The sequence below is a fragment of the Homo sapiens genome, chromosome 4 (genome assembly GCF_000001405.40).
Source record: "Homo sapiens chromosome 4, GRCh38.p14 Primary Assembly".
Taxonomy (NCBI): Eukaryota; Metazoa; Chordata; class Mammalia; order Primates; family Hominidae; genus Homo; species Homo sapiens.
In genome coordinates, this window is record NC_000004.12 from 112,374,642 (window position 1) to 112,395,341 (window position 20,700).

The 20,700-nt window shown below is 40.6% G+C and overlaps 1 protein-coding gene across 3 annotated transcripts in view; it reads left to right on the forward strand.

Moving 5' to 3' along the window:
- ALPK1 (alpha kinase 1) overlaps positions 1-20,700 on the forward strand; it is a 145,253-nt gene that overhangs the window by 77,273 nt on the left and 47,280 nt on the right. The window contains exons 3-4 of one of the 3 annotated variants that reach the window (NM_025144.4): positions 3,037-3,257; positions 7,757-7,911. In NM_025144.4, the coding sequence (NP_079420.3) occupies positions 3,137-3,257; positions 7,757-7,911 (276 nt within the window). In that variant the 5' untranslated portion in view covers positions 3,037-3,136. The remainder of the gene's footprint in view (positions 1-3,036; positions 3,258-7,756; positions 7,912-20,700) is intronic. The other 2 variants (NM_001102406.2, NM_001253884.2) reach the window with 2 other exon arrangements.

Sequence of the window (20,700 nt, forward strand, 5' to 3'; positions counted from 1 at the left end):
GAAATGAATTTCTTCTAAGACTTAAAAGTTGAAATTACTTCTTGACCCATGGGCTGTAGAATGAATGTTATATCAGCAGGCATAAGAACAACATTAATCTTGTACATCTCAATCAGAGCTCTTGAGTGACCAGGTACACTGTCAATGAGCAGTAATATTTTGAAGGAAACCTTTTTTTCTGGGAGGTAGGTCTCAACAGGGCACTTAAAATATTCAGTAAACCATGTTGTGAACAGATATCCTGTTACCAGGCTTAGTTGTGCCACTTATAGAGCACAGGCAGAGTAGATTTAGTATAATTCTTAAGGGTCTTAGGGTTTTCAGAACAGTAAATGAATACTGGCTTCAAAGTAAAGCCACCAGCTGCATTAACCTCTAACAAGAGAGTCACCCTGTCCTTTGGAGCTTTGAAGCCAGGCATTGACTCCTCCCCTCTAGATATGAAAGTCCTAGACGGTATCTTCTTCCACTACAAGGCTGTTTTGTCACCACTGAAAATCTGTTGTTTAGTGTAGCCACCTTTGTCAGTGATGTTTTTCTTTTTTTTTTTTTTTTTTGAGACAGAGACTTGCTATGTCACTCAGCCGGAGTGTAGAGGTGCAGTCACAGCTCACTCCAGCCTCAATCTCCTGGGCTCAAGCAATCCTCCTACCTCAGCCTCCTGAGTAACTAGGACCACAGGTGTGCACCACCACACCCAGCTAATTTTTTTATTTTTTGTAGAGATGGGGTCTCCCTCTGTTGCCCAGGCTGGGCATTAATTATCTTAACTAGCTTTTCTATATAATTTGCTGCAGCTTCTACATCAGCCCTTGCTGCTTCATCTTGCACTTTTATGTTATGGAGATGGCTTCTTTCCTTAAAACTCTTGAACTAACCTCTTCTAGCTTCCAACTTTTCTTCTGCAGCTTCCTCACCTCTCTCAGTCTTCATAGAGTTGAAGACAGATGGGGCCTTACTCTAGATGAGGGTTTGGCTTAAGGGAGTGTTGTGGCTGGTTTAATTCTCTATCCATTAAAATTTTCTCCATATCAGCAATAAGGCTGTTTCACTTTCTTACCACCTGTGTGTTCTCTGGAGTAGCACTTTTCCTTTTCTTCAAGAAATTTTTTTTTTTTTTTGCATTCACAACTTGGCTGTTTGTCACAAGAGGCCTATCTTTTGGCCTATCTTGACTTTCAACATGCCTTTCTCTCTCAGCTTAACATTACTAGCTGTTGACTTAAAGTGTGAGATGTGTGACTCTTCCTTTCACTTGAACACATAGAGGCTGCTGTAGGGTTATTAAGTGACCTAATTTTAATATTTTTGTGTCTCAGGGAATAGGGAAGCCTGAGGAGAGGAAAAGATAGTAAGAAATGACTGGTCAGTGGAGCAGTCAGAAGACACACAATATTTATGGATTAACTTTGCTGGCTCCCAGACAGTTTGTGGTGCCCCAAAATAATTACAATAATAACACCAAAGATCACTGATCTCAGATCACCATAACAGATATAATAATAATGAAAAATTTGAAACATTCCAAGAATTACCAAAAAGTGGCACAGAGACACCGACGGTTAGACTTGCTCTTAGTGACTAATTCCTCAGTATCTCACTTAAGTGAATGCCCTTTCAAGTAACACAAATTTTGTATTTGAGCACTCTGCTTGTGTTCTTCATCAACAAATACATTAGTATTTTAAATGAAACAAGCCTGTAATAACCCCAAGCTTTGCCTTGGCAGTTCTAGCTCTGTAATGTATGTGTGTAATGTGTGTGTGTGTGTGTTTAAACACAAAGTATATGGAGATACGAAGTATACCTGCCAAGTTAGTATGAAAAACACAAAATTTAGATTACACAGTTAGCTCAGCTTTCATTTTCTGCTCCTGCTAAGTCACAGAATAGAAAATGAGAGAGGGAAAAAGGCTTTCTTGCTATTTCAAATTCAAAACCAACTTCTTAAAGTTAGTTAAGAAACCATTGGCTAGTAGAGCACATTTAATCCCAACACCAACACAATAATTCACTGCTTTAATATTTTCAATGGTTACTTCATTGCATGCATAAGCTCAGAGACAGAATAACTAGAGCCATCCATATATCTGTTACTTTCTTCCCTTTCAGACTCTCTTGCTTTTGGTAATAAAATTCTACATGCCCTCCAGGAGTGTCTAAACCTGACAGCAGCTCCACTATCTATTCTGGCAATGTCTAACTTCCTGTCTTTCATTTACAATATAATACTTTAACAAAAGAAAGATAGACAAAAAGATTTGTTAATTGAATAATGTTTTTCTATGAATTTGTCAGGCATTTTTTTTTGCGCTGTTAGTAAGTTATTTCATTCTTGAAATTACCTTGACGGCAGTAGCTCATTAATCACACTAATATTTGCATAAGAAATCTCTCAATTGTATATACGTTAAATGACAATATAAGTAGATCCATATGACAGATCCATCCGTTTGATGGATTTGGGAAATTGGGTTTTCTAGGATATCAGTTCTCTATTTTACTTGGTAATGTTCCTGGCAGTGAAGAGCTTTAAATTTGGCATTTGTCATTGCCTATCTTGGTCCAAATTATATCATGCTAAATATTATGAAGAATACTGCACAGGGGAAATCAGCAGTGGGTTATTACCGTGTACTAGTGTCTAATATTAGAACTGCTAGCCAGATGCTTCCTGTGGACTTCTAGAGAGCAGAGAGTGTGGTGCCACTGAGCTCCAGAGGCACTGATGTGAAGTACGCAGAAGATAAATCATGCAGTATATTCATTTCATTTGGCCCATGTAACTCCACTGACGTCACTGTGGATAGATAACTGGGGTCTGTACCAGGCCCCTCTCGCTTCTGCACTCTGAGGCCTTCGGAGGTGCTGCCCATCTAGCCAGGCCCTGCAGTAATTTCACACACTCCTCTAATAAAGTCCTCGGGGGCTGTCATGTATTTTCCTCTGTTTGCCCTATTATCCCTCCCTGCTTGAGTCTCACAGATAATTGATGATGCTTCAGTTAATCATCTTTCCCTCTCTTTTGTTCACCAGGTACTTCGGCCTTCAAGGGGCTCCTTTATTGAGAATCAATGTCTTCTCCTAGGTAATTGATCACCCTAGACCCAGGGACACCCAATTCATCGTAATCATCATGAATAATCAAAAAGTGGTAGCTGTGCTACTGCAAGAGTGCAAGCAAGTGCTGGATCAGCTCTTGTTGGAAGCGCCAGATGTGTCGGAAGAGGACAAGAGCGAGGACCAGCGCTGCAGAGGTGAGGTTCTGATGGGAGGCACCAGGGGTGAACCAGCAGGTTCACTCTCCTGTCCCCTGCCTGAACGACACGTTCTTATCTCTGCCCTATTTTTCTTCTCTTGGCAGATGACCACCGAGAGATGAGTGGATTTCTAGGGCATGAATGGGACATGGGCTGCGGGCGGACGGGCAGGGGAGGAAGCCCACTTTGTTGCACTGAATTGCTGTCAGTTCTAATTTTAGGCTTCAGTAAACATGAGGCTACAAGAAACAGTTTAGTTCAAGAAGAACAAAGGATCCAAGTTGGCTGGTGCACGTAAATTTCAATTATTAAAAAATTGAAGCAATTTCTGAATGGTGGCACATACTTTTTTTCAAACTAGGATTTTTTGCCTCATCGGTTTCCATAGACTTCTAGGGTTTCCATAAATACGTCATCTCACCAGTCCAATCTCACTATTTTGATCACCAATACATTCTTCATGCTATATTCTCACACCATTTGTAAAATAAATTCTCTCATCTCGATAAATACTGATTGCATCATTATCAGGTTTTAAGAATTTGGCTTTTTGCTCATTTTGTTCTTTGTGCCATTCAGAGTATCAGATAAGTCATTGTTTGGGAAGTTTCCATCACAAAGTCTAGAAAGTTAAAGCAATTCTTATGTCTTCTTTAACCAATTTTTGAGAGGCAATCTTCTGGGTTTTTTTTTTAGATTTCTTTTTAGCATTTGAATAAATTTTCCTCCACTTCCATAAGTACTGTCCTTTGTACATGCTTTTAATATTTTTCTCAGTATTTTTAGCACTTTGCTATTCCTCACAGAAACAAGATTCCCAAATAAAATGCATACTCCTCATTTTTTGCTGTTGTTCATTATGTAATGGGAAAATGTTCTGGGAGAGTCTTTTCTCCTGAGTTCTTGTACATAGGCACATATATTTTTACAAGGGCACTATGGAAGTCTTAATTATTTGTAACCTGTCATTTGTCCTCCTTTCAAGATAAAAATCCCCTACGTCCAGTCATTTCACAGCCTCAGTTTCTGTGATACACCAATGTGTGACTTTGCTTCCTGGCTCCATGTGCCTGTCAGCCTGAGATCACTCTCACAGATGTCAGCCTTTGTCAGGGAATGGCAGGTACTTGGCACCTATAGAATATGCTCTATGGCTGGCCCTAGTTCTCCCCAGGGGCGGTGTGTTGTGTTCTGTTGTTTCCACTGAAGTTTTTCTCTCCCTTTTACTACACCACACCCTTTGTCTCCTCAGCCAAATTCCTTTAAGCTTTGTGTTCTCCCTGATGAAGACTCTGAGCTCCCAATTGGGTAGCATTTTCTTTTCTTTTTCTTCACGAGTGCCACAGAATAGAAGAAGTAATCAGTTTAGTTCCAGATAAGGCAAATCACGGCTGTAAAATCACTAAATTAGACATGGCCCTTCAGGTAAGCTGCTTGGGGAAGCAAGTGATCAGAGAGGCAGAGGAGGTTACTGCTGGGTCTGGGGCTGACTGCCCGGCGTTGGTTGAATCCAATAAACCGACGGGGAAGGACGCCTCCTAAGCGGAGCCATTGGCAGCCGTAGCATCAGCCCCAGCCCAAGGGCGGCGCTGCGTGTCCCACCCGAGCCCACCGTGCGGATGGAGTGCAGCCTGCACCGGATCCCTTCCCTCGGCAGGTGGCTGCGGAGCGGCTCGAGCAGGCGGGTCGTGCCGCCACCGATGTCGTCACCGCATGTGCTCCCAGAGAAAGGCATTAGTACAGGGTCACTTATGGCAGCGGGGCGAGCCAGCAGACCCTGCAACACAAACACTGAGGTTTTTCTTCTCCTTCCTCCTCTCGACGCCATGATTTTCCCTCAGAAACTGTCCTTGTTAGCATGGGTGACTACCCCAGCAACTTCTCCAGAGATGAAGAAGGAACTGAAATCCAGAGATACATTTTAAAAACATAGTTAAGAGGCATATTTTATTTCAGAGTGCCTCACAGGACATTCTGACGTGAGGTGTGGGGAAAGGGTGATGTGAAGGAGGCAAAAATGAGTTAGTTGTAAAGAACAGACTTTTCCATTACCATGAAGAAATTTGAAAATATGAACACTATTCACTCCAAAGTGTGATAAAATTCTATGAACCCAGAAATCACATTTCCTTTGCCATGTGACTGCTCACATTGACTCAGTGTTCAAATAATTTAAAGAATTTATTAGCTAAACTGGGACACTTCTTCTGAGAGTGAAAAGGAGCACTGTTAATAAGGACCCTAGGACCACACAGGATGGTCCTAAGCAAACAGGTCTAAGGGGTCATCCTGTCTGTGACTGTTTAGAAATGCTCTTGAAGAAATGTTCTCTACAGCTATATTGAAAACAGTTTCAGAAGTTGAAATTATGTCAGTGGCTGTAAGAGGGTCAGGTTTTCCAGCAGAATGTGGCCACCTAAGTCCCTAATCCTGTGGGTCTGCTTTCAAGGGGGAGCACTATCAGTCACACAGTAGATGCTCAGTAGTCCTGGACTGCTCAATGGAGATAGGGGGTGATAATTTCAGTGTGATACCTGTAAGCCATCCTCGGTAATCAGTGTGAATCATTCATTGGCATAGCCCATGTGATATCCCCTCAATGCCAAACAGTCCTTCCCCACCAGAAAACTTCCTTCCATTTGCCCAGTTCATAAATGGTTCTAAATGGCTCATAAAAAGGGATCACAGACCAAGTTAGATTTTCTCTCTCCTTTTTTCTTTTGTTCTTTCTGTCATATCTCTTTTGCTGTATTTAACATGTTTCACATAGATACTAGATGAACCATGTCTTTTTTATAGATGATATAAAAATATTTTCAAAGGGCCAGCTAGAAGATGAACCTTGTCTTTTAATCATACTGGTCTTTCACCCATCATGATGTGACTTATAAAAATGATGAGACATGATGCTTGTCTTCAGGGAGATAGCAGTCCAGTGAGAGACAGAAATAGTTACAGAGCAGTGGGATGATGGCTGAAAAGAGCCTGCTCCCTTGGGTTTGGAAGTGCTCAGAGCAGGCGCTCAATTCCACTGTGAGGTCACGGTGGATTGAGGAGAAGTGGCAATGTTTGCATTGAGTGCTGAAGCCAGTGGGCCTGAATTTGGTCACAAGGCACTGGGGGAAGTCAATCCAAAGAGCCGGAACGGGATTTGCCAAACCACTGAAGATTTTTATTCAGGGCAATGGACTGGTCCATCTTGTTTTTAGAAAAACGAGGCTTGACAATGTGCAAGAGGGACTGGACGGAGCAAGATTCAGACAATAATTCAGGCAAGAATTACTGCCAAGGAAGAGGAGAAAATGGATTTTAGGAGCCACAGGATTTGACAACCAATTAGGTTTGGGGAAGAAGAGAGAACACAAAGTCTAGACTGACTCCTGGGTTTCAGATTCGGGGAACTTAGTAAATGGTGGTGCCAGTCATTAAAGTAGAGATTTATAAGGGAAAACAGATTTAGAAAAAAGTGATGAGTTCAGTTTTGGATGTTGAGCATGAGAGGCTTGCAAGACAAGTACCTAGAGATTTATAGCTGGCAGTCATATATACAGGTCCTTTATTTATATGGCAGTCATATGTACGGGTCCATATATATATAATCCTTTATTCAGAACCCTGGCATCACATGTGTACTTCAGAATTCAGAATTTTTCTAGTGTTAGGAGGGTCTTCTGGTGCATGTACTGTACATCACATTCATGCTTCAGTAGCAGGTGGAGTGCAGTCAAACACAAAAAATTTTGCAGCAAAACATTTGAGCAATCTCACTGAGTCCTTAACCAGGACTATAAATAGCCTCTAGTTAATTCAATTCTGTTTCGGGTGCCAAACTTAAGAAAAATTTCCAGTTGCTAAAGCTGCTTGTGTTTCCAAAGTTTGTATAGGAGATTATAGACCATTATAAGTAGACTTGGTACCCATTAAGAGATTTAATACATCTACTAATGTGAAACAGGGCCATTTCACAATTAATTTACACCATTTCAAATCTGATATGTGTTTTTCGTAGTTATTTTCTGTATTCAAATGTAGTCCATATCGAAGGGATGAGAAAGTGAAGTCTTAGAGAAGCAAAAAGAGGTTGTACAAATTAACACTGCATCATCCACCTGCCACAAGCCCAGAATGCCATTCCATTTCAGTCCCTTTCTCATTTTACAGGGAAAATAATATTTCCTTCATTCCTTTCTCTGATTCTTCATGCAGAGATAGTCACTAAAGTGCTTTACTTCCTGCTAAAAACCTTTCTTAATGCCTGACTACCCCAATTTACCTGTAGGGCAAAGTCGGCCAGGGCCACCCCTGACAGATAGCTCCTCACTGTTATTCTTTGAGTCAGAACCAACAGCTTAGACCAGCCAGCAAGAGGCAGGGAAAAGGTTTTTCTCTTTTTTTTTTTTTTTTTTTTTGCCACTGAGGTGCTTCATCATAACATTGGTAGCTCAACAGCCTTTTCTTTGACTGCAATTTCCTTACCTGAACTCTGACCTTTTCAGCTTTACTCCCCAGCGAGTTAAGGACCCTGATCCAGGAGGCAAAGGAAATGAAGTGGCCCTTCGTGCCTGAAAAGTGGCAGTACAAACAAGCCGTGGGCCCAGAGGACAAAACAAACCTGAAGGATGTGATTGGCGCCGGGTTGCAGCAGTTACTGGTAGGAAGAGCCACACCACCTGTTCCTCTGATATCCCCAAGTGAGGCATTTAGACTCTAAGTGGTCTAATAGATTAAATTTCTTTGAAGCACAAGACAGCCCCCTACCCTTATGCTCAGCTCTGCCAGATTGACTAATGTGAGGGAAATAGCTGTTTGAAAAACATTACTTGCCCATAAGATCTTGTGTTGTAAAGCCAAATCCAGTAAAAGTGAAGAGTGGTCAGTGAGTCTAACATGAACCCTGTCATCTTGAAATATTTACATATCCTTGGTGGGCCAAAGAAGCAGATTTGATTTCACCATTCCTCACAGCATTTTAATTTTGAAATGCTACTTTCTAAAAGTTAGGTAGCTTAAAAAAGTAAATGCACCCTTGTTTCATCAGTGTGACTTGCTGTCTAAGCTACTGAAGTCTGGCATATTCCTTCCCTGAGCCCCACCTAGGGTCCTGTTGACTTTCTTATATCCTCAAGATTAAGGCTGTTCAGGAAGCATCAAGTCAAAGTCATTGACATGCTTATTTCTCAACTCATTTATTGGAAATTAATTGAACTGGTACTTCTATGCCAGATAGAAGAGAGCCTGGGGAGTAGCACAGGAACTCAGATTGCAGCTCAGGATTCAGGCTTTGATTCTGGGGATAACATAGGGAGAACCGTTTTCCTTTTTGATAGCGTTGCTTTTTACCCACATTCTCTCGGAAGATTGTCAAGGAAGAAAGCTTGCTAATTTATATATATATATATATTTTCTCAAATAAAAAATATATTTGTTAGGCATTAAAGCATGACAATATCCTAAAATTTTTACTTTATTGCTTTACGTAAGATTGTATTTTTGAGTCATCCCAAAATAAATATATAGACATTGTCTTTGCCCATTCAAGCAAAAATCTAAGAAAGACCCCCTGATCTATAGACACACAAGAGCATCTTTAGAGACTTAATAGAAACAGTAAAACCCCAGCTCTCTCATCCTCCTAAAAAACAAACAAAACAGGTTAAGCAGACTGGGGATTGCAAGCAAAGGAAAGTGAATGCTTAAGGAGAACACAATGGTGAGCCAGGGTTTTAAATAAATGTGGTCAGTATTAGTGGAAAAGTAGAATAAAATAATAACTATAACTTAACTATCACTATAGAGTTTACAAAGTGCTTGTAACACTTTACAGAGTGATTCAGATGCTCTTTGACTTACAAAGGAGTTGCCCCCAGTAAATCCATCATAAGTTGGAAATATAATAGGTCAAAAATATTATACATTAAAAATGCATTTACTACACCCAACCTACTAAACATCATAGCTTAGCTTAGCCTACCTTAAGCAAGCTCAGAACCCTTACATTAGTGTACAGTTGGGCAAAATCATCTAATATAATGCCTATTTTGTAATAAGGTATTGAATATTTTGTGTAATTTAGTGAATACTGTGCTGCAAGCGAAAAACAGAATGGTTGTAGTCTACTAAATGTATATTGCTTTCACACCATTGTAAAGTAAAAAAATCATAAGTTGAACAATTGTTAAGTTGGGGTTCTCCTGTATTACCATTATCATCCCTCTTTTGAACAAGGAAATTAAGGTGCGAAGAGATTAATTTGCTCAGGGGAAGAACAGACCAGTAAGTGGTGAAATTGTGACTTACAGCCTTCTCCTTCATCCAACTCCAATTCTCCATCAGGAAGCACCAAGTGAAGAGCTTGAAAAAACAGGTAGAAGCCATGAGGTTTACTTATTGTATCTAAAGTAAGCTGTAGGCCATCCAGTAACACTTTTTGTATTGATGATGGAAATGTTCTACAGCTGTGTTCAATATGGTAGCCACTAGCTACAGATGGCTCTCAAGCACTTGAAATGTGGTGAATGGGACCGAAGAACTGAATTTTTATTTTAGCTATTTTTTATTCATTTCTATGTAAATAGTCACATGTGGCCAGGGCTGCCATTTTATTGGACAGTGCAGCTCTAAAGCAGTGGCTATAAATGTGAGACCTCCCAACAATAGATTAGCATCATCTGAAATCTGGTCAGAAATTCAAATTCTTGGGTGCAAATCAAAAACCCTTACTGAATCAAACACCCTGGGGGTGGGAGTCCAGCAATCAGCATTAGAGAAGCCCTCCAGATGATTCTGATGCTAAAGTTTGAGAGCCACTGTTTGCAGGAAAGAGTAGAGTGGCAAGCAAGGGGGAAGGGCAGAGAGACTGAATGGGGATATAGTGGAGAGGGTCAAGGTAAGGAGTAAGGAGAATCCAGTGAGAAGGCTGTAGGAGACCAATCCAATAAAAAAAAATCTCTTTTCCATCAATTCTGGGAACTGTTGCTTAGACTGGAGCCCTTCTGCAAAAGCTGATGGTCACTTTACTTGCTTGGAGATCCCTTGTGGAATTAGCCTAGTGGCATAAAAGAACTTTACAAACCTTCCAAGGAAGGCGAGAGCAAAACGGCCTCACAAGAGGGAGTGACTCAGCTTTGACTTTTGGGCTTAGCAGGTTTCTCTGACTTTTGAACATAGGCTGAGTGATGTGGCACATCACTATAACTGGGGTTTACTCCCCTTGTTCCATCCTGCAATCACCAGATCCCCTGAGCCCTGCATTCAAAGCTGGTAGTGACATTAGCTTAAAAACTGAAAACGATGTTTTAAACATCATTAAAAACATCAGTCCCGCTGCACTGGGGGTTTAATGTGAGTTGGGAGAGAAGCTGCTCATAGTTGGAGTAGACTATTTTAAGAGCCCACTTATGATACCTCCCGCTATGCCTCTCTATACTACACAAATTTCACAATTGGAGAAATAGAAGCATAGAGAATTTAAGAAGTTTGAGCCCAGCTCACAAGGTCACTCAGTAGCAGCTCTAAGGGGCGCTGTCTATTAGGCCTTCTTTAGTCTCTAATGTATTTAATCTGGCAGCTTTTTGAACTCTGAGCATCATTTTCTTTAGCTTGCCCAGCAAGCTATAAATTAAGCAACCGCACCTCCTAATGACTTTTAGGATGTTCTCCTATTGTGCCAGACCCCAAGTGCACAATTGCTAAACCACTCTGTTTTGTAAATATGGAGAACCATAGCACCCTGTAAGTCAGGCACTCCTAAAATCTATTTTTAATATCTTAGATTATTAAAAATAGTTTGAATAAATTCCATGATTTGTTTTTGTTTCATTGTATCCCAATCTGGTCGATTTCAATATTAGAGTTTGTCAGAGCTGGATGGTCATATTTTAATAACTGATTAATTGTGAAATTCCATTCTCATGTAAAAAATATTTAAAGATTACTGAGTTTGTCTTTTCATGTTTTCTCTCTTTTTATAGTTTATTCATAAATATAAACTTTCTGTGATTTTTTTACCTTGAAATGAATCCTTCCCATAAAATGTTTCCCCTCTGTTTTTCAAATAAGCATTGTACTCAGAGCATAAACACTGTGTCTTTAATTCCACAAATAACAGATCGAAGTTGAGAACAGAATGCTTAAGAAAAAGGCAAGTCACAAACAACTGTTTTCCACAGTTCATGAGTTGGTAAAATTAAGAGTCATTTATAATGTTATTCTCTTGGGCTGAACTTAACCAAGAAAAATGATACATGTTTTGTGTTTTGCTTTCTGGTCTCCACTGTGTTCCCATTTCCTCCCTCCCCACTGCTCTCCTCCCCTCCTCCCTGACTCTCCAATCCCTTTTCCTTTGGTGTGTGGCCACAGACAGAAATTTATGGCAGGGGCCAACCTCCTTTACACTCCACACAAAGCTTGCTGACTTGAGAGAGTTTGTCCGCGCTCTCCCAGAAAAAACACCTGCAGTACGCTCCCCAAGAAACCTGAAGAGATGGGAGATTAATGTGGCTGTAATAGCTGGGCAGTGTTTTTGGTATTATGCCCTCTCCCTAGGTAGATGGGTCTTTTCCGAGATGATACCAATTATTTATTGCTGAAACATCTGTTGATAACTGCAGCTGCCCTTGTAAAACAAAGCATATCACGGGGTCACAGGCTACGGCGACCTAAAATCCTACCTCATGCTAGTTTCAGTCTATTCAGCAACACCCTCAAGTCCATGGGTTACCATCATCTTTAATGTCTCATCGTGCCATAGAAAATACTTTGTAAACACCGAGCTGCCCTGCCCTATAGGCTTTGAAGTATTATTTCATCTTCATCGGTAATTTATATTCCAGCACCATTGTACTGTGGGAAAAAGAGGGGGAACCTTTTTTGTTTTCCATTTAATTGTATATCGCCTGACACTTTGACCTGTATTATTAGTATTAGTCAGAAAAAGGATTTTCTCCCTCTCTTATTTAAAAATAAAATTTCAAGGGAAAGTAAGCGCTCCTTCAGCTCTTTTCACTCAAAACAATGTTTACACTCTGAGAGGGAAAGATGAAAAGCATGAGCAACTTTTTTCAAGTGTCGGAGAAGGGCATTTCAGTCTGTGAAAGAGAACAGTAAGGCCCTTATAAATATCATTCAGCAAAACCTTTGATGGATTTTTCAAAAAGTATTGAAGGCATTTAGCGTTAGCTTCTGTTTAGCTCAGCTTTGGGCCATGGCGGTGGAGTGCTAGCTAGGAAAACCCATAGAATGCTAACTTGCTGCTGAGATGCCGGGGAAGGACTCAACGTGGATGCCACCTTGGGAATTTTTCTTTCTGTAGTTTTCACTCTTCTAAACAACAACAAAAAATGTCTAGTGAATTAAAATAAAATATGAAAGTAAAGCTTTCAAAAAGTAAAGTAAAGGGTGTGTTTGGATTTGCAAGTGGGAGCAGATTGGGCTGCAAGGCCAAGAGCTGTGTGATAGCCCTGAGTTTGAACATTCCCTGCACAGGTTTGGGGGTCCTGATGCTGGAGGGAGACTGGCTTATTTCTGTGGAGGGAGGGGCCTGCTGTCAGTCAGCCCTGGATTTACTGTGGTGCCCACTCACGGAGATACAAGATCATTTTTATAGGTTGGCACTAAAAGCACAGTCTGAGGACATGAAGCAGGCTCAGAAGGAGGATATTCTTTTTCCCATGTCCTTTTCAACTCTACAACCATGAAAAATGGGTAATCTGATAGCCCTGATGTTGTAAATATTTTTGGAAAGTGTCTGTGGTGCCCTGGAGTGATTTGAAAAGACACCATAATAATAATAATAATAAATGTTGAGTTGTTTCTTTATGCTATTTTGTGGAAAACCCCTGTGGATGAATAAAGTTTGATCAATTTAGTCCCAATAATTTTTTTAACTTTTATTTTAAGTTCAGGGCTACACATGCAGGTTTGTTATGTAGGTAAACTTGTGTCACAGGGGTTTGTTGTACAGAGTATTTTGTCACCCAAGTACTAAGCCTAGTACCCATTAGTTATTTTTCCTGATACTCTCTCTCCTCCCATCATCCACCTTCCAATAGGCCCCAGTGTGTTGTTCCCTTCTAAGTGTCCATGAGTTCTCATCATTTAGCTCCCACTTAGAGTGAGAACATGCGGTATTTGGTTTTCTGTTCCTGTGTTACTTTGCTAGGGATAATGGCCTCCAGCTCCATCTGTGTTCCTGCAAAAGACATGCTCTCATTCTTTTTTATGGCTGCATAGTCAGAATATTTTTTCTAATATGTCTCTTTGTATTATCTTGGTGCCTTTGACTTGTTGATATTTTTGTTTTTATACTACTTAAGATGTTAGAGGGGTGAGATTTAAAACATGAATAAACATGAATAAATATAAGAGTTGGTTATTGCAAGATTGCAGAAAATGCTTTAAAAATGCCTAGTGTGACTAACTCGTGAGCTCAGGGGATGGAGGAGAGACTTTAGCAAAAGAAAGCAAAGTATGAATTTATTAGGAAATGAAATATCAAGTTAAAGAAAGTTATGGAAACAATAAAATTCCCTCCATGAATAAGCTCTTGATTAAAAGATGTCCTTAAAACTAATTTTAAAACATTTATTCCAGGTGCCGGTTTTTATATTAGTAATACAGAATTCAAAAGCAGTAACAGGTGCTGTTTAGATTATGATTCTTTCATCATTTTTCATCTTATATGCTTTGGGGCTTTCATAGCAGAAATCTTTTTCATCAAGTTGCAAAAAAAAAAAAAAACACAAAGTGTAGATAAACTCTGCATTCATTCATTCAACAAACTTTACTGGGTGTCAGCATGTGCCAGATGTTTGACAGAACACTCAAAGAAGTGCAGAAGAAAGAGAAGACCCAATTCATGTCCTGGAAAACTACAAAAATGAAGACAGAGGGCAACCCTTGTCAAAGTCCAGCTTATTGGAATGGTTCTTCCCATGTATTGACCTCCTAATATGTGGCAGTTGCTCAATCTATGTTCTTTAAGCTATGACGACAACCCTTAAAGAGAAGGGTTATAATTCCCTTTTCACAGTTAAGAAAATTAATGCTCAGAGAAGTAACTTTTCAAAGTCACAATCTGAACTCCCCATCTCTTTATGGACAGCTCTGTTCTTTCCATTCAGGGGCACACAAGGAGGGCCATGCTGGCTTTTTTTTTTTTTTTTAGACAGCATCTCGCTCTGTTGTCCAGGCTGGAGTGCAATGGCGTGATCTCGGCTCACTGCTGCCTCCACCTCCCGGATTCAAGCGATTCTCCTGCCTCAGCCTCCTGAGTAGCTGGGACTACAGGCACGCACCACCACTCCCAGCCAATTTTTGTATTTTTAGTAGAGACAGGGTTTCACCATGTTGGCCAGGATGAGCTCAATCTCCTGACCTTGTGATCCGCCTGCCTCAGCCTAACCAAAGTGCTGAGATTACAAGCGTGAGCCACCGTGCCTGGCCTGTGCTGGCTTTTAAGATGTTGAGATACCAGGGGTTGGTCACAGCCATGGCCAGGGGCCTGATTGCTCCTACTCTTGCCCTGACTAATTCAGGAACCTCTGGATCTTGTCATGATCTGAAAATGAAAGTTTGTCTCAGAAAGAACCTTGCTCCAGCCAAATGTCTGGTGTCTCTAAGGCTGCAACAATTGTATTTTGTTTAGGTCCCCTAGATAAGATAGCAAATCAGGAGAATGGAGCATGAGGAAGGGAGCTGAGCTACTTGTCAAAGGCAGAAGAGCATGTGGTGACCGGTTGGACAGACGGGGTGGGCACTAAGTATAAGATTTCAGTCTTGCAATGTGCTGGGCAGTGATGCCTTTACCTGAGACAGCACAGGAGGGGAAGCTGGCATGTGCTTCTTGGATGTCTTACAGACATCTGAAACTCATGGTCCCTCTCTTCCCTGCTCTCAAATAAGGTCCCCTTTCAGGGTCCAGTAGAATAAGCTGGGAACTTCAAGGTCATTCTTGTCACTTTCCTCTCCCTTGCCTGACATATCCATTCCATCACCAAGCTTAGTAGGTCTTATTTTCTAAATCTCTCCTCAATTCCCCTCCACCCCATCACTACTCCTGTTCCAGCTGCAGCTATATCTCACCTGGGCTCCTGCCATTGCTTCCTGAATAGCCTCACACATCTACCCCACTTCACTCCTCCACATCTCTTCTCCATGCACAGAGGTGTTTGTGCAAACTACAACTCTAGTCTGTCACCCTAGTATGCCTAGGAATGCAAAACTCTGAAATGAGGCCCATGGGCCCTGCCAGGCATAGTCCTTCCCTTGGCTGCCCCTGCTGCATCATCTCCATCTCATGGCCTCCTTTCAGTCCACACTCTTACCGGGATTATTCCATGCACATAGCTGCTCTCCATTCCCGAGACATTCTTCCCTCCCTCCTTTGCCTGATTAATTTCTGTGTATCTTTCCCTTCTCAGCTCACATCTCAGTTCTCAGGGAAGCCTGCCCTGATCTCTGGGACTAAATCAAACTTCCTCAATATAGGCTTGGCTATAAGGTATCACCTTTTCAAAGTTGCAGTTTACATTTGTTTGTGGGGTTTCTTTTACATTTGTTTACATTTGTTTGTGGGGTTTCTGTCTCTCTCTTCTGCTAGCTACAAGCTTCATGAGGTCAGGGCCTTATCTGTGTTCACCATTATATCCCTGACACTTAAAATGCATACCTTCAAAGAACACCCTTGGATGGATGGATGATGGATGGATGGGTGGATGGATGGATGAATGAAACCGTATTAATGTTATTTGAAAAACATGGTGTTTGATGTGCATGTGTGTTGAAATATATATGAGGCTGCCCCATGTGTGGCCCACAGTCAGACAATTGTCTAGGTACTGGTCAGGAGGATAATGCCCATGTATCTCTCAGGGATGGAAGGCATTTAAGTAAATGCCTTAAATGTTTCCTGATAAAGAAATGAAGTAATCACCTGAAGAAGATAATGCTATTTGTTGTGCATATTATAAATTGGAGTGGGGAGATCCTGAGTTTGGGGAGCACACTGAACTGCCAAGGAAAGAATGATTATGTGAGGTCCTGCATAAACGTTAGGCTTGAGAGAAGTGGAAAGAGGAAGCATATCTAAGAGACATTATGAAAAACAACCTAAGGTATGTCATGATTCATGGAATGAGCTAGACTGAGGTAGATTGTATTATTGTTCCCACATATTCACTTTTGCCATGTGACTTGCATGCCTCCCTCTGAAAGGAATATACCTTCCCATGGAGATATTAGGCTAGGCCCTCACAACCTGTCTTAGTCTATGAAATGTGGCTGGAAGTGACATATGCCAGTCCCTAGCAGAAGATTTATGAGCCGTTGTGTTGTTCAGCAATTGGAAGTTTTCCTTTGCCTTGTGAACAAGGTAGGGGCTACTCCCTCAACCTGAGAAGGGCAACAAATGTTGAAGAGAGTGTCAGTGTTACAGCCAAACTGCAGGCCATAAAAAGTATGGACAACAATTGCCAAAACAATTTTGTCATTAAAGGCAATTAAATTTTAGCATTATCACAGTCTTACCATGTATCATGGGTTGAATTGACCCCCCAAATGATGCATTAAAGTCTTATCCCTCGGTACCTCAGAGGACTTTATTTGAAAATAAAGTTATTGTAGATGGAATTAATTAAGTTAAAATGAGGTCATACTGGAGTAGGGTGAGCCCTTAAGCCAGTGTGACTAGTGGCCTTGTGAGAATACCTAGAGACATAGGGTAAATGCCATGTGATGATAGAGGCAGAGATTGGAACCATACAGCTGCAGATCAAGAAGCACAAGGGTTGCTGGCAACATCAGAAGCTAAAAGAAAGGCAGGGAACAGATGCTCCTGTTAGAGCATGGCCCCACTGACGTCTTGATTTCAGACTTCCAGCCTCCAGAAGTGAGGAATGATACATCTATATTCTTTTAAATCACCCAGTTTATGGCCTTCTCAGGAAACTAACATACCAAGTGCATATGTGTAAGACAATGAAGCAAGAAAGCTTTCAAATGACTTCTAGATTCTTAGTATGTAAGCCTGTGCCTCTATAGAACAGAAGGCAAAATAAACCCCAGTCCACAGGAAAAAAAAACAGAATTTGTTCAATGGAATATTTCAACAGAAATGCTTCTAAAAGGAAAAGAAGAATAGGCTCTAGTATCTACTAAGTTATTTTATTCTTAAACATAACTAGAGAAAATAGATTGGGAAAAACATATCACTCTTCCCACTTCATCAGTTTGTGGTAAATAGTACAGTCAAGAGCCCACTAAATATTTCCATTTGGATGTCCTAGATGTCTCAAGTTCAATAGGTCCAAAACTGAACTCATAATCTCTCAACTTCTTCTCCCTCCACCAACCAAACTTTATCCACCCCCAGCGATCACCATATCGGTAAATGGCACTACAAACCACCCAGTTCCCCAAATCAAGACCTTGGCTTTAACTTCCCCCCAACCCTCATATCTCATTTGTTACCAAATTCTAATAATTTTCCTCTTAGATGTCTCTCAAACACATTTTCCTTTCCCTAATCCTACTGTAACTATTCTGGTTCCAAGCATATCATCTCATTCTTAGAATATTATTATTATTAGGTTAGTGAAAATGTAATTGTGGTTTTTGCAATTAAAAGTAATTTCATTTATCTGAGACAGTGTATGTCTCTGTTGCCCAGGCTGCAGTGCAGTACAGTGGTACAATTTTGGCTGACTGTAACCTCTGCTTCCCAGGCTCAAGCCAACCTCCCACTTCAGCCTCCCAAGTAGCTGGGACTACAGGTGCATGTCACCATGCCTGGCTAATTTTTTATTTTTTTGTAGAGATGGGTTTCCCAGAGCCGTGTTTCCCAAGCTGGTCTCAAACTCCTGAGCTCAAGTGATCCACCTGCCTAGGCCTCCCAAAGTGCTGGGATTGCCGGATTGAACCACTGCACCTGGGTCTCTTTCCTAAATTATATCCAACTCCTCTCCCTAACTCTAGTCACATTCCCTGTATCTGAAAGAACAGGAAGGTCATGCTGCAGACAGATTTAAAAACAAACAAACAAACGCTCAGGGGCTGAAAGCAAAGAAGGTTTATTCTGTCCTCTTTCTACATGTCCATCTGAGGTCAGTAGGAGGCTCTGCTTTATGTCAGTCTCCTCAGGAGCCCAGATTGATGAAACACCTAACATGTAGAATGTGGCTGGTTGCCATTGCAGGGGGAAGCAGAAATAAGGAATTGCACACTGGGTTTTAAATGCAATTAACCCAACAGATGTGGCCATTGGTCAAGAGAAGCCATGTGGTCACATTTCTTTTCAAGAAGCCAAAGAAATACAATCCCACTGTGTGCCCAGAAGGAGAAGACCCAGAAATATATTGGCAGATAGGCTGCCATGGCCTGCTAGCTTCTCTCCACAATACAACTGAAGCATGTTTCCAAAAGAGCAGGCTGGCATTCCTTCATACTTAAATTTGGGGAGGGGGTGTGGGGGAGTTGGAAAAAATCTCAACTAATTAAAAGAAAATAACAAAACAAAAACAAGACAACCATGTAGATCTTACAGAAGTACCTAATACTAATCCTCAACAAGAAAATCTTCTAAATAAATTTGGGTGAACATTTTCATCAAGGTGGTGAGAATACTAGTTACTTTTGTTCTTTATACTTCTTTGATTCTTTACAATAAACATTGCTTACCATTATAATAAAGGAAGTGAAGAGAGAGAGAGAAAGAAGAAGGATTGTTAAACAGTTGTCCTTAAATCTAGACAAGGTCAAATGTTCAAAAACAAACTTCTCACCACTTTTCTAAGAGCAAGTACAAATACTGAAGTGCACACATCTTAACAATGGAGAGGCTAAAGTCATTAACTAAGTGACTCAAGTACTGCATCTTTTCTCCAAGTAAAGTAAGAATTTAAAATGCAATGTTATTCTTTCCAAACATTTTCTCTTCCCATTTGGTGGCCTGCTATAAGCTGAGTATCATTATTCTTCTGTTATATTTTTTAGATCATTTTAGCCTGGTGTGCATACACACATACATGTGTGAAATATATATATATATATATACTGTATATATAATTCGTATTGAGTACAAGTTATTTCTCCATCAAATGATAGAACATCAAAGCTGGAGAGAAATTCAGAGGTCTTCTATTTCAAGCCCATTGTTGGGTAGGTGGGGAAACTGAAATCTAGAGAGAATGAGAAGAGGCTCACCAAGTCACACAGCCAGTTCGTGGAAATGACGGGACCACCACAGCCGGGTTTCCTACTCCTAAATGTGGGGTTTTCTCCCTGAATCTACATGACTGCCTGGCTAGGCAGGCTGTTGTAGGGCTGGGGCAGCTTTGCCCTTGTTGCACTCCTTTTTTCTCTGCTGCCCCATAGCCTGCCCCTCTGCTTCTTTCTGTTAATGTGATATGACTATTTTATTCGGAGCAGAATTAATTAAAACAGAAATTGTATAATTTTCAATAATCAACATTTAAAACTTGAATTTCTTTTGCTGAACATTATAGGTCTTGTTTTGAAAAGAAGCCAGATAAAAGGTTTAGATGCTTCAAAAATAAATTTTATTTAATAAGTGAAAATTAGTTGCCAAGAGAATGGAGCTTTGGAGGAAAATATTAGCCCCAAGGCCTATGTATTTTCAGACTTTAAGGTAGAGTCTGATTAAAATCACCAAGGATTTAAACCCTGCTCTAAAACTCTGCCAAAAACTGCCCTTTTAATATAGTACTTTCAAGTTTCAATGGAAGATAAATTAAAATGGTGGCTTGTCCTTAAAATTCTACCAAGAAACTTTGGTTGCCACAGAATCAGGCATGCAAGTTATCCCTTTGATGAGGCTAAATCTATGGCATGAATTTCATGTCTCCCCATAATGAGGCCTGAAGACTGAGCCAAGTCCTGGAGGAGTTGATTTGACTAAGACAAGTGGGCTGAGCAACCCAGCTCAAAATGCTAGCAGAAAATGAACAGGTTCAAGTGTTGGGCAGACAAAAGAAAGTGATGACCTTCAGAAAATAAATCCTAGGGATGTGATCATTCTTTCTGGCAGCAGATAAGAAAAACATCATCTCCCAAATCTTATATGTTAGGTAAATAAGGAGCTGAAATAATATTATCTCCATATATCTGACTGTGTTTATATGAGGTTGAACCATATAAAGTGTCACCTTTGTATGCAACAAACGTCAAACACCAGCAATCTCATATGATTCAATGTGATATATTCTTCACAGCATATAATCTTGATGACAGTCCTGCAAAGTGAAATTTGTTATACCCATATTGCAGATGAGATGATTGGCTCAGAGAGCTTGAGAGACATTTCCAAGCCATGTCACCAAGTATACTTCAGCAGGGATATGCCCTGGATTTCCTTCTCCCACCCTTTCATCATGTGTAATCACCTGCCTGCTTCATAAAACAAGATTATCTCACTCACAAGGGCAAA